The sequence below is a fragment of the Homo sapiens genome, chromosome 13 (assembly GCF_000001405.40).
Source record: "Homo sapiens chromosome 13, GRCh38.p14 Primary Assembly".
NCBI classification, from domain to species: domain Eukaryota; kingdom Metazoa; phylum Chordata; class Mammalia; order Primates; family Hominidae; genus Homo; species Homo sapiens.
In genome coordinates, this window is record NC_000013.11 from 39610542 (window position 1) to 39624297 (window position 13756).

Below are 13756 nucleotides of genomic sequence, written 5' to 3' on the forward strand. Positions count from 1 at the left end.
AATAAAATAAAATAATTTAAAAAAAAGAAAAGTAGGAACTAATTTTTAGCAGTTGGCACTGAGTTAAATTGTCAAAGATTGCATCTTAAACACTGTACTTGGTTGATTTGCCAGTTAGAGTGAATGACTGGATGAAAAGAGATGCTATTATATTTGGCTACTTTTGCCTTTGAAAGATCTATGTCTGTGTGACAAAAAGCTAAAGAGCAAGGGTGAGGTGACAAGAAGCAGAAGATACAATAAGAGTAGAGTTGAGAGCAGCATACAACATCAACCATATCAGCAGTTAGACAGCAGAGTTGGAGAGGAGGGAGAGAGAGGGAAAGGAGACAGAGATGGAGAGAGGGAAGGAAGAATAGAAGGAGAGGGAGAGAGAAGACTAAAATTTCATATGCTACCTTGACTTTGAGCCTAACATGTCGCAAAGGCCTAACTTTGGGTCAACTTGACACTCTGCAGTAGCTCACACCCCTATCCGGTGAAGCCCCTGCACTTCTGCAGATTCCTTGGAGAAACCCTGGTCTCCTCTCTCTGAGCTGTGGGTCTCACATCTGTCTCATCCTAGAGTTATCCTAGTAAATCCCAAGTGGTAACAGACTTCTTTATCTCCCAAGTAAGACCATACCAGGTAGCGGTTTTCCTAAAGGCTTACAGGATGACAAGGGAGGGGGATTGCAGTTTGGTTCTTCATAGCAGTTCACCCAAAATGGAATACTGGGCCTCCTAATCCTAGAACCCCTGCCATGGGGGATTTCACACAGGCTGCTGTCTCCTCAGGGAATTCTGCCTACTGCCAATTTGTACAGCCAGGCCAGTCCCTCTCCCTCCTTCAATGACTTCTCCTGCACCCCTAACTTTTTCTGAGCCCCTTGGCACCTCTCTCTTAGGCTGCGCTTGGAAAGGTAAGTCTTTCTTCTGTTCTCTGTATTGTTTGGCATTTCAGCATTCACCCTGTGTCTCCCTGTTGTTCACCCTCTGGGGGTGATCATGACCAAAGGCACTATAAGAGTTTTTCTGAGCCCCACCCCTTGCCCCAGTTAAAGAACAAAGTTATCTTGCTAAGGGAGTTTAGATTTGTGCCTTTCTAAAAAAATTAACTAGCTCAAATGTCAGTCTCCTTTTTAAAAACATAAAGTAATCTTATTTAAAGTATATTATTAGAAAGGAAACCTCTTTAAGAACAACACATTTTCATCTATTTAGCATGAATTCTATATTGCCTTAAAGAGATACGTTGAGCCAAAATGTTAAAATAAGAATCCCACATAACTCCTGGTCTAAAGAAAAGCATATAAAAATACACTGCTCAGCTGCCTTCAGAGAGATCTACCTTTTCCAAGAAGACTCAGAACGGGCTTCTGACCATCATAATCAGAATGCACTGCCTTCAGGAGCGGAAGGAACACTACATGGGGAGTCAGAAACCTGAGTTCAAATTCTGAGACTGGATCTTCAACATGCTAATTATGACTCAAATATCACGTCTATTATAACCTATTTACTCTCAACAGTGTCTTTATCTAATAAAATTATTCACCATTATATATGATCATTTGCCTTAGATGACATGAATCAGTTCCTTTATTCATATTAGCAATTGGTAGAGCTTGAATTAATGACAGTGCTTGGATTGTAATGCAATTTTCCTGACTGTTAAGTACTTGTTTCTTTATACCAGGCGCCTCCTAGTGGCAGAAATGCAGCAAAAAGGAGATTGAATCTTCAGTAATTTCTCTTCTAGGTGTAGGGATACAGGTTAGATTTCAGCTTAATTTTGTCTGACTTTTCTGTTAATTGATTAGTATCTCAAATGTCTCTACTCTTAACACATTAACATGGGCACAGGCTTGGCTTAGTATAGGTATATTGAAAGTGGCATTAAGTCAGGAGAAGCCCACGTTCTATCTTTGCTATAAGCTCCCTGTCGCTTAATTATATTTCTTCCTTTGCCTTTGTTTTCGTATATGTGGCTATTATTTCTTTCATGGTCATGATTCTCAATCAGAAATTATGTAGAGGTATTTACTTCACAGTTTTAAGTTTTTACTTACACTGCTTTTGATCTGAAAACATTGCAAGTCTTATTTCAACCTGGATATAACTTAGAAAACAAATAATTATGGTGCAGCAAAGAGAGGAAAAGCCTGATTTCCTTGATTCAAAGAAGCCTTTGGGTCTGGCTAAATAGACCGAGAATAAACATCCGGCGTTTGATTGATGCCTCCTAACTTGCAATTTTGTATATAAAGAGACAGAAAAGAGGGAGACACAAAAAGAAGCTCAATGCCACATCTAAACACTAAGGTAGAAGTCAGGAACACCCACTTCTGAGTTTGATGTAGCTGTTAAATTGTTGCTTGATTTTGGACAAGTAACAGTATAAAATGAGGAATCTGATCATCCTTCTGTTCTCTGCTCCCAACAAAGCTGTATGGTTGTCTTAGTTCCTTAGGGCTGCTGTTAGGTTGGTGCAAAAGCAATTGCAGTTTTTGCCATTACTTTTAACGGCAGAATACCATAACAGAATACCATGAATATATGTAACAGAATACTTAACACAATATAACAGAATACCATAAATCAGGTGCCTTCTAAACACAGAAATATATTTCTTACAGTCCTAAAGGCTGGAAAGTCCAAGATCAAGACACTGGCAGATTCAGGGTCTGGTGAGGGCCAGCTTCCTGGTTCATAGACAGCTGTCTTCTCTTGTGGTGTCCTCACATGGCAGAAGGAGCGAGGGAGCTCTCTGGGATCTCTTTTATAAGGGCACTAATCCCATTATGAGGGCTCTGTCCTCATGACCTGACCACCTCCCAAAGGCCCTGCCTCTGAATACCGTCACATTGGGAGTTAGGTCTCAATGTTTGAATGTTGTGAGGGTTATAAACATTCAGCCTATAGCAATGATTTACATAAAGTTTGTGGAATGAGACTGATAAAGTAATTACCAATAGCCAGTCAGGTTGGTATCAGAAAATTTCTTGCTGTAGTATGTTAGCTACGTGAGATAAACTTTTTGAAGATTAAACAAACCACAGCAGGGATATAGGTGAATGAATGCACCATTGTGCCACTGATTAACTTTTCTCCCATTTCTTATTCATATACTACTTAGATAAAATAATACTCTTTAATTTTTTTAAAGCCATAATAATAATTCCATTACACTAATCAGTACTAATCAGTGCTGGAGAACGATGAACAATCTGATGTCAGGCATCCAAATGTACTAAATTCATCCAAACCATCAGTTTTAAATCATTTATTTCCCTACCCAGGTTCTTCATAATTTCTATTCTGCCATCTTAGAAGTTATTTAGTTAAAAACAGTTCAATACATTCAAATCTACAGTAAATGTCTGACAATCTCTTTTAAGATGAATTATAGGGGACAATTGGTTTGCCAGGAGCATGCTAAGGTCAAGACCCTAAACATAACATAGTACAATGAACATAATTCCAATTGCTTTTTTCTGTTTAATATTAAAAAGAAAAGATTTTTTTGTCTACGTGCTTTTTTCAGATTTTCTTCAAGTGTTGACATGTAATAAACTTAAGTAGAAGCATCAGAAATAGCATAATGATTTGCTGCTACCAAGACAGGATTGATCTGAATTTGATTTAGCCATAGAAATACCTCCTGTGAGAGGAAGGCCAGGTGTAGTTTAGAGGAGGCAGATTTGGGCATTGCCACTCCCTGGTTTTCTTATCTCAGGTAAGTTACTTAGTGATATGGTTTGGCTGTGTCCCCACCCAAATCTCATCTTGATTTGTAACTCCCACAATTCCCATGCGTTGTAGGAAGAATCTGGTGGGAGGTGATTGAATTATGGGGGTGGGTCTTTCCTGTGCTGTTCTTGTGATAGTGAATGAGTCTCATGAGACCTGGTGCTTTAAAAACAAGAATTTACCTGCACAAGCTCTCTCTTTGCCTGCTGCCATTCATGTAAGACATGACTTGTTCCTCCTTGTCTCCCGCCATGTTTGTGAGGCTTCCCCAGCCACATGGAACTATAAGTCCAATTAAACCTCTTTCTTTGTAAATTGCCCAGTCTCAGGTATGTCTTTATCAGCAGTGTGAAAAGGGACTAATACACTTAGCCTGTGTCTAAAACTCAATATGCTCATGGGCAAGGTAGAGATAATAATCTCTGCCCATAGAGTTATTCTAAAGACTAAATAAGATAATATATGTAAAATACTTAAAGCCATGCCTGACATGTAGCAACTGCTCAATAAATGGTGGCTATTATTGTATCAATAATAAGTTTTCTCTTTTATTATTCTAGGATCAGTTAGCAAGAAATAATCCAACACAGTCAAACTTACAATAAATGTCTGACTTACCCTTTTAAGATAAATTGTTATATGAAACTAATATGAACCTTCTTTTAAAAACATGATTATTCAACATGCAATCTATTATGTTTTCCACAGTTTATTTTCAAAGAAAAGACAAATTCTGACCAAGTTTTTCATAGAAATAAAAACATCAAACAGTACCCTAATTTTGATGTATTGATCAGCTTACTATCTTGAACAAAATGGTGGCCAATAAAGACTTCTCAATGGACATGATGTCTGATACTTTGATACATTTTAATGAAAATCAAACAATGGAGAAGTGATAGAAATATATGTTTACTCTGAGCTCAAGAAATCTGAGAGAGGGCTGGTCACGGTGGCTCACACCTGTAATCCCAGCACTTTGGGAGGCCGAGGTGTATGGATCACCTGAGGTCAGGAGTTCAGGACCAGCCTGGCCAACATGGTGAAACCCCATCTCTACTAAAAATACAAACAAAATTAGCCTGGCGTGATGGCAGGCACCTGTAATCCCAGCTACTTGGGAGGCTGAGGCAGGAGAATCACCTGAACCTGGGAGGTGGAGGTTGCAGTGAGCCGAGATCGCGTGATTGCACTCCAGCCTGGGCGACAAGAGCAAGACTCTGTCTCAAAAATAAAAAATAAAACATAAAAAAGAATTCTGAGAGAAAAGCCTCCAAAAGTGAGATTTTTCTTGCTCTAATCAAGTCCAACTCTAACTTTGTTTTCTTTCTGCCTCCCTATTTCTGAGCCTATCTTGACAATCCAGTTTAGCAGCCACCTTAGCAGAGACAAAGAAAATACTGGACTCAACAATTTGAGGCCCAGATGGTCCTACTAAGTAACTTTAAGATGTGAAAGCACTTTGGGTTCCATAGAGTACTTTGGGTTCATTAGTACAATCTTGAAATCCTTCTTAAATAACATTAACTCATACATGCAATCAATAGCCCTAACTGATTTATATCAATTCTAACTAACAATTATTTTTGAAAATGAGTTTTGTGGATAGAATACAAAACATACTGTCTCAAAAGTATCCGTGACCTTCTAATTCTTCATATTGTTGTCCATATTTATCATTGCAAGAATAGAGATACATCTGAGTATCAAATGTTTAAGAAAGTCTACTGACAAAACAATAAATTAAATGGAATACTTACCCATGTTTCCACTAAAATAGTCTATATCAGACTTTAGAATTGATATAGAAACCCCCACACAGTGTTTACTTTGATCAGTTTGCAGAAACTGAATAAATATTATGTTTCTTATTTAAATTTTAAAATATCTTCCAGGGAAGAATTTAAATGATAGGTATAGAATGTTGCTTCTTCAGTCTACAGCAAGAGCTTAGTATTTAGGCAAAGACCCCGTGAGGGAGAAGCTACACGGCCGTTACTCAATAGCGACATCTGCTGTTATCACAGGAGTATGCTTTCCCATATTAGGAAGCTCTGCTCTTTGGCAATGGGGTAGCTGGAATGACAGTCAACTCTCAGGCATAAAGAGGCTTATTCTCTAATTTGTGGGTTTTCTCGGTCTTTAGTGACTCTTCATTCCCCCACCTGCACTCTGCCTATTGTCTGAAAGGTTAATCTTAGCTTTCTTACCAGAAGTTAAGTAAGCAGAGAATAAAAACTGAACCTCATATCAATCAATATTGTTCCTGTTATTCGATGGTTTAAAATATACTGTTTCCTGGCCGGGCATGGTGGCTCATGCCCGTAATCCCAGCACTTTGAGAGGCCAAGGTGGGTGGATCACCTGAGGTCAGGAGTTCGAGACCTGACTGACTAACATGATGAAACCCCGTCTCTACTAAAAATACAAAAATTAGCGGGGTGTGGTGGTGGGCACCTGTAATCCCAGCTACTCAGGAAGCTGAGGCAGGAGAATTGCTTGAACCCAGGAGGCGGAGTTTGCAGTGAGCCAAGATCGTGCCATTGCACTCCAGCCTGGGCCACAAGAGTGAAACTCTATCTCAAAAAAAAAAAAAAAAAAAAAATACTGTTTCCTTACAGAAGAATTCCAAATAATATAGGTATATATTTCCCCATCTCCCACTCCACCAAAGAGGTGGAATTTATCCCCCTAACCCTTGAAGATAGACTCCACTGAATGACTCACTTACAAAGACTAGAGTATGGAAAGGGAAAAATAGTAACTTTTCGGTGGAGAAGGCTGGCAGATGCTACCTTAACCCAGTGACTCAGGTGAGCATTGCCAATAATGTCATATGGACACCAACTACACCTGATATTATATGAAAAAAGGGCACTTCAGCATCATGGTTTTCCTTCCAAAATCCCATGACTCCAACAGACCAACCCGGATTGGGGGCTGTCCTACAAAATACCTGACCAGAACTCCTCAAAACTGTCAAAATCATGAAAATCAAGGAATGACTTAGAAACTGTTGCAGAGCAGAGGAGACTACAGAGACCTGAGGATTAAATGCAGCATAGTATTCTGCATGGGATCCTGGAGCTGAAAAAGGACATTAGGAGAAAAACTGGGATATCAGTTTGGTGAAAGTATAGGATTTAGTTAATAGTCCTGTATCAATGTTGGTTTTTTTCATTTGGACATATTTACCATTGTATAACAATGATAACATTAGGGGAAACTAAAACTGAGTGAGGGGTGTATGGGAACTCTTCGTATTATCTTTGCAAATTTTCCGTAAATTTCCAAGTATTCCAAGATACAATTTAAAAAATATATGTATATTAAGAACTTGCTCTATGTCTTTCTCTGTGCTGGACATTCTTGTGGATAACACTTCACTTCTTTTTTTTTTTTTTTTTTTTAATAGAGATTGGGCATCCCTATGTTGCCCAGGTCTCAAACTTCTGGCCTCAAGAGATTCTCCCTCCTCAGCCTCCCAAAGTGCTGGATTATAGGCATGAGCCAATATGCCCACCTACACCTCACATTGATGGACATGGCACAGATTAGAATGTGTTTTCAGATATTTTTTTCTCATGTAAACTTCCACAACAGCCATGTGAGGCAGGCCAGATGGGATTATTTCCATCTAGAGATGAAAAAACAAACTCAGAGAAGTTTTATCCGGCTAAAAGTCATACAAGGAGTTAAATGCAAAGCCAGAACTCACCCACAGGACTTGGCATCATCTTCAAAATGTTTTCTACTCCTCACAACAAGTTTCTTATCTTTAAATTCTAATAAAGAAGAGAGAGGAGGAAGATGGAGGATCGGAGACAGGGCTAACGTGCAGCTCCCATTTGGAAAGACAGAACATGTGGAGACTCACGCCATGGACTTTTGCTCCAGGAACCACCACAGAAAAGTACCAGGAAAACCAAAACAATTCACAGATCCTTTGAAAGAAGTAGCAGGCCACTGCAAATTCCATGAGACAGGTGAAAAGCTGTGAGTTCCCAAAGTGTGAGAGGAGGGGCAAACCTGCCTCCAAACACACATCCCCACTGGGGAACCTGAAAATCCAGATTGTGGGAGAAGGATTTAACCTTACCTAGAGCCAAAACAGATTTAGCATGAATATAAAAGCAGAAGCAGTAGTGGAAAGAGCCATGTAGGAACTCCCAGCCTCCAACTCAAGCCCAGAGGAGCCATCCTTGACTATATCTCACGGGGGCCCTCAGGGAAGGCAGCCAGCAGAATTTGAGAGGAGGTCACAGGGTAAAATAAACTTCCAACTGAACTTTGTAATAATTTCGGCTGTGCACAAAGTGTTGAGCAGAATCTGGGTAGTAAATGGGAACTGCTGCAGAAAGAAGAGCAGAAGACATAGCTGACAGTGTGGGGAGATGGGGAGGGGTGAGGGGCAAAGCCTGAAAGCCATGCTTGCTTTTTCAGCAGAGAAGCTTATAGCCTGGGGCAAGGTCTGAGTCCTGCACTCAGGCTTCCTGGAGATAAACTCAGAGCTGTTAGCAGGGCACACCCAAAGTGAGACCAGCATCACCAACTGTGTGGAAGCTGGGTGAGGCCTATTGCTACCAGCTTTCCCCCACTTCCCTGGTGAAAGAGGCAGCCATAATTCCCTCTAGAACATAACCCCATTGGCCTGAGAATCACCCCCCCCATCCCCCACAGTGGCCACAGCAAGACCCACCCAAAAATAGTCTGAGCTCAGACCCGCCTAACCCTGTCCCCACCTGATGGCATTTCTCTACCCACCCTGGTAGGCAATGACAAGAGACATAAACCCTTGGGAGCTTTATGGCCCTGCCCATTGCCTGAGAAACCTAAATACTGATCCTGGCCAACTTAGGGCAAGCTTACGTCCCCCTTCTACTATGGCAGCTGGTGCTCTTTAAAGCACCACCTCCTGGCTGGAGACCAACCAACTCAGGATATCACAGCAAGTCACGACAGAATAACCTTGCTCCGAGGAAGAAGAAGCTAATTCCATTGCCTGCAACATCCTGGCTAACCAGAGGTCCTGAGTCTCTTCACATGACAACTTCTCTGCTAGCATAATCAGCATTCAAGAAAGCCAGCACATTAAACATATCTACAACCAAGGACTCTCACACAGTCTATTTCACCCCCCTGCCACCTCCACCAAAGCAGGTGCTGGTGCTAGTATCTATAGCTGGGAGATCTGAAGATGGATCACATCACAAGACTTTTTGCAGAAATTCTCCAGGACCAGCCTGGAGCCCACTGGGTGGCTAGACCCAAAAGAGCAATAACAATCACTGCAGTCTGGCTCTCAGGAAGCCCCATCCCTAGGGGAAGGGGTAGTGCACCACATCAAGGGATCACTCTGCAGGACAAAAGAATCTGAACAGAAGCGCTTGAGTTCTAGATTTTTTTCACTGAAATAGTCTACCCAAATGGGAAGGACTCAGGAAAGTAATTCTGGTAATATGACAAAACACGGTTCTAGAACACTCCCAGAACACCACACTAGCTTCCCAGCAATGAATCCAAACCAAGAAGAAATCTCTGAATTGCCAGATGAATAATTCAGCAGGTTGATTATTGAGCTACTTAAGGAGATACCAGAGAAAGGTGAAAACCAACTTAAATAATTTTTTTTTGACAGAGTTTCACTCTTGTTGCCCAGGCTGGAGTGCAATGGCGTGATCTTGGCTCACCACAACCTCTGCCTTCTGGGTTCAAGTGATTCTCCTGCCTCAGCCTGCAGAGTAGCTGGTATTACAGGCACCCGCCACCATGCCCGGCTAATTTTTTGTATTTTTAGTAGAGCCGGGGTTTCACCATGTTGGCCATTCTGGTCTTGAACTCCTGACCTTGTGATCCACCCGCCTCGGCCTCGCAAAGTGCTGGGATTACAGGTGTGAGCCATGACGCCCGGCCTTAAAGAAATTTTTTAAAAATACAGGATATGGATGAAAAATTATTCAGAGAAGTAGATATCATAAAGAAAGAACAATCATAACTTCTGGAAATGAAAGACACACTTACTTAGAGAAATACAAACTGCACTGGAAAGTGTCAACAATAGACTAGAACAAATAGAAGAAAAAATTTCAGAGCTCAAAGACAAGACTTTCAAAATAACCGAATCAGACAAAGACAAAGAAAAAAGAATTTTAAAAAATGAACAAAGCCTCCAAGAAATTTGGGATTATTTTAAGCAACCAAACCTAAGAATAATTGGTATTCCTGAAGAAGAGAAATTCAAAAGTTTGGAAAACTTATTTGAGTTAATAACTGAAGAAAACTTCCCTGGCCTTGCTAGAAATCTAGACATCCACATACAAGAAGCACAAAGAACACCTGGGAAATTCATTGCAAAAAGATCATCACCTAAGTACATAGTCACCAGGTTATCTAAACTCAAGACTAAGCAAAGAATCTTAAGAACTGTGAGGCAAAAGCATCAGGTAACCTATAAAGGAAAACCTGTAAGGTCAACAGCAGATTTCTCAGCAGAAACCCTACAAGCCAGAAAGGACTGGGGTCCTCAAACAAAATAATTGCCAATCACAAATTTTGTATCCAGCAAAACTAAGGTTAATAAATGAAGGAGAGATAAAGTCTTTTTCAGACAAACAAATGCTAAGAGAATTCACCACTACCAAGCCAGCACTACAAGAAATGCTAAAAGGAGTTCTAAATCTTGAAACAAAACCTCAAAATACACCAAAATAGAAGAACCTTTTTAAAGCAAAAGTCTCACAAGGCCTATAAAACAATAATACAATTAAAAAAAACAAACACAATGAATAAAGGAGTGCCTCACATCTTAATACTAACATTGAATGTGAATGGCTTAAATTACCCACTTGAAGATACAGAATGGCAGAATGTATAAAACTTCACCAACCAAGTATCTGTTGTCTTCAAGAGACTCATCTAATGCATAAGGACTCACATAATGCATAAGGACTCACATAAACATAAGGTAAAGGGGTAGAAAAGGTATTTCATACACATGGAAACCAAAAATGATCAGGAGTAGCTACTCTTATATCAGACAAAACACACCTTAAAGCAACAACAGTTAAAATAGACAAAGAGGGACATTATATAGTGATAAAAAGATGAGTCTGAAAGAAAAGTATCACAATCCTAAATATATACGCACCTAAGACTGGAGTTTCCAAATTTATAAAACAATTATTACTAGACCTAAGAAACAAGACAGAGAGCAACATAATAATAGTGGGGGACTTCAGTACTCCACTGACAGCACTAGACAGGTCATCAAGACAGAAAGAAACAATGAAGAAACAACAACAAAGAAACAATGGCCTTAAGCTGTACCCTAGAACAAACGGACTAAACAGACATATGCAGAACATTCTACCCGACAACTGCAGAATATACATTATTTTCATCAGCACATGGAATATTCTTCAAGATAGACCGTATGAGAGGCCACAAAACAATTTTCAATAAATTTTTTAAAAATCAAAATTATACCAACTACCCTCTCAGACCACAGTAGAAAAAAACTGGAAATTTACTCCAAAAGGAACCCTCAAAACGATAAAATATATGGAAATTAAATAATCTGCTCCTGAATTATCTTTGGGTCAACAATGAATTCAAGATTGAAATTAAAAATTTATTTGAACTGAATGATAACAGTGATATAGCTTATTAAAACCTCTGGGACACAGCAAAAGTGGTCCTAAGAGGAAAGCTCATAGCATTAAATGCCCACATCAAAAAGTCTGAAAGAGCACAAATAGACTCTCTAAGGCCACACCTCAAGGAACTAGAGAAGCAAGAACAAACCAAACCCAAACCCAGCAGAAGCAAAGAGATAACAAAGATCAGAGCAGAACTAAATGAAATTGAAACAGCAAATAAATAAATTAAATAAATAAATAAATAAATAAATAAATAAATGAAATTAAAAGCTGGTTCTTTGAAAAGATTAAAAAAAGATAGACTATTAGTGATATTAACCAAGAAAAGAAGAGACAAGATACAAGTGAGCTCAATTAGGAATAAAACGGGAGATATTACAACTGATACCACAGAAATAACAAAAGATCATTCAAGGTTACTATAAACACCTTTATCTACACAAACTAGAAAATCTAAAGGAGATGCATAAATTCCTGGAAATATACAACCCTCCTTGATTAAATCAGAAAGAAATAGAAAGTCTGAACAGACCAATCATAAGTAGCAAGACTAAAACAGTAATTTAAAAATTGTGGACAAAAAAAAAATCTGGATTCACAGATGAGTTCTATTCAAAAAATTGGTACCAACCTTACTGAAACTATTCCAAAAGATAGAGAAAGAGGGAATCATCTGTAAATCATTCTATGAAGCCAATATCACCCTAATAACAAGACCAGGAAGGGACATAACCAAAAAAGAAAACTACAGACCAATATCCCTGATGAACACAGATGCAAAAATCCTCAACAGAATACTAGTTAACTGAATTCAACAGCATATCAAAAAGATAATACACCATGATCAAGTGGGTGTCATTCCAGGGATGCAGGGATGGTTTGACACATGGAAGACCACAAATGTGATACACCACATAAACAGAATTGAAAACAAAAAACTTATGATCATCTCAATAGATGCAGAAAAAGCACTGGACAAAAGCCAGCATCATTTTGTGATCAGCAAAATCAGCATAGAAGGGACCTGCCTCAAGGTAATAAAAGCGATCTATGACACAACCACAGCCAACATTATACTAAGTGGGGAAAAGTTGAAAGCATTCCCTCTGAGAACTGGAACGAGACAAGGATGCTCACTTTCACCACTGCTATTCAACATTGTACTGGAAGCCCTAGCCAGAGCAATCAGACAAGGGAAATAAATCAGAACATCCAAATTGGTAAGGAGGAAGTCAAACTGTCGCTGTTGGCTGGTGATACCATTGTATACCTAGAAAACCCTAAAGACTCTTCCGAAAAGTTCCTAAATCTGATAAATGAATTTAGTAATGTTTCAGGATGCAAAATCAATGTACACAAATCAGTAGCACTGCTACACACCAGCAATGACCAAGCTGAGAATCAAATCAAGAACTCAACCCTTTTGCAACAGCTGCCAAAAAAATGAAATACTTAGGAATATAGCTAACCAAGGAGGTGACAGATCTCTACAATGAAAACTGCAAAACGCTGCTGAAAGAAATCAGAGATGGCACAAACAAATGGAAACACATCCTATGCTCATAGATGGGTAGGATCAGTATTGTGAAAATGACCATACTGCCAAAAGCAATCTACAAATTCAATACAATTCCCATCAAAATGCCATCATGTAAGAGACAAGATGAGTAATCTTCCTTCCATTCATTCATTCAACAAATATTTTAAACATCTGACACTTATCACACACTGCCCTAGGCACTTAGGATACATCATTGAACAAAAGAGACCAAAAGCCCTTCTGTCCAAGAGCTTATATTTCTAGAGAGAAACTACGTTAAATTCAAATAAACATTTTTTGTTCACCATAAAGGGTAAAAATATGGGCCACAGGCTGAGAAAAGATATATAACCAACAAGAATTTGTATCCAGAATACATAAATAATGTGTACAAATAAACTAAAAGAAAAAGAAAAGAAAACAAAACAAAACCTCATGGGCAAAAGAATAAGCAGTTCCCAGAAGTAGAAAGCCAAATGCCAGTAGACATGAAAAGATGGGTATTTCATTAGTAATTAAGGAAGTACTAGTTATAATATCAAAGAAATACCATTTTATAACTATGAAACTCTCAAAAATGAGAAAGCCTGACAATATCAATCATTGGAGATAGTGTGGTACAATGAGGATTCTTAATTGTTTAGTTAGAATAAATTGGTGCCATACTTTGCATAATAGTTTTTACAATAGCTAGTAAACTTGAAGATGGGTGTGTTATTTCCCCTAGCAACTCCACTCCCAGACATAGACCTCACAAAAATGAACGTATATAAAGAAGATATACATAATTGTTAGTAAAAACAAAATTGAAAACAACTAAATGTCC